Genomic DNA, 1,214 nt, shown 5'->3' on the forward strand with positions numbered 1-1,214 from the left:
CCCCAAAACAGTTACAATAGTAACACCAAAGATCACTGATCACAGATCACCATAACAGATAGAGTAATAATTTAGAAGTTTGAAATACTGTGATAATGTACAGAATGTGATAGATAAAAAGTGAGATCATACTGTTGGAAAAATGGTGCCAACAGACTTACTCAACACAGGGTTGCAACAAACCTTTATTTTCTAAAAAGCACAGTATCTGAAAAGTTCAATAAAGTAAAGCACAATAAAATGAGATATGTTTGTATTCAAAGAAATAATGCCTAAAAATTCCCAAATTTGGTGAAAGAGATAAACCTACTGTGGGGAAAAGAAAGAGAGATCAGGCTGCTTCTGTGTCTATGTAGAAAGAAGTAGACATAAGAGACTCCATTTCGTTCTGTACTAAGAAAAATTCTTCTGCCTTGAGATGCTGTTAATCTGTAACCCTACCCCCAACCCTGTGCTCGCAGAGACATGTGCTGTATTGACTCAAGGTTTGATGGATTTAGGGCTATGCAGGATGTGCTTTGTTAAACAAGTGCTTGAAGTCAGCATGCTTGTTAAAAGTCATCATCACTCTCTAATCTCAAGTACCCAGGGACACAATACCCTGCAGAAGGCTGCAGGGACCTCTGCCTAGGAAAGCCAGGTATTGTCCAAGGTTTCTCCCCATGTGATAGTCTGAGATATGGCCTCCTGGGAAGGGAAAGGCCTGACCATCCCCCAGCCTGACACCTGTAAAGGGTCTGTGCTGAGGAGGATTAGTAAAAGAGGAAGGGCTCTTTGCAGTTGAGATAAGAGGAAGGCATCTGTCTCCTGCTCATCCCTGGGCAATGGAATGTCTCAGTGTAAAACCCGATTGTATGTTCCATCTACTGAGATAGGAGAAAACCGCCTTAAGGCTGGAGGTGAGACATGCTGGCGGTAATACTGCTCTTTAATGCATCAAGATGTTTATGTATGTGCACATCAAAGCACAGCACCTTTTTCTTAAGACATTTGTTCACATGTTTTCCTGCTGACCCTCTCCCCATTATTACCCTATTGTCCTGCCACATCCCCCTCTCCGAGATGGTAGAGATAATGATCAATAAATACTGAGGGAACTCAGAGATCCGGTGTAAGCGTGGGTCCTCCGTATGCTGAGCGCGGGTCCCCTGGGCCCACATTTCTTTCTCTATACTTTGTCTCTGTGTCTCTTTCTTTTCTCAGTCTCTGGTCCC

General features: G+C 43.0%; 1 annotated feature.

Moving 5' to 3' along the window:
- Window positions 273–847: an enhancer, noted in NCBI's record as "OCT4-NANOG hESC enhancer chrX:89468292-89468866 (GRCh37/hg19 assembly coordinates)". NCBI's record gives its function as "activates a minimal SCP1, AML or CMV promoter by ChIP-STARR-seq in primed H9 embryonic stem cells {active_cell/tissue: H9 hESC(primed)}" and the evidence as "EXISTENCE:reporter gene assay evidence [ECO:0000049][PMID:30033119]".

The sequence above is a fragment of the Homo sapiens genome, chromosome X (genome assembly GCF_000001405.40).
Source record: "Homo sapiens chromosome X, GRCh38.p14 Primary Assembly".
NCBI lineage: Eukaryota > Metazoa > Chordata > Mammalia > Primates > Hominidae > Homo > Homo sapiens.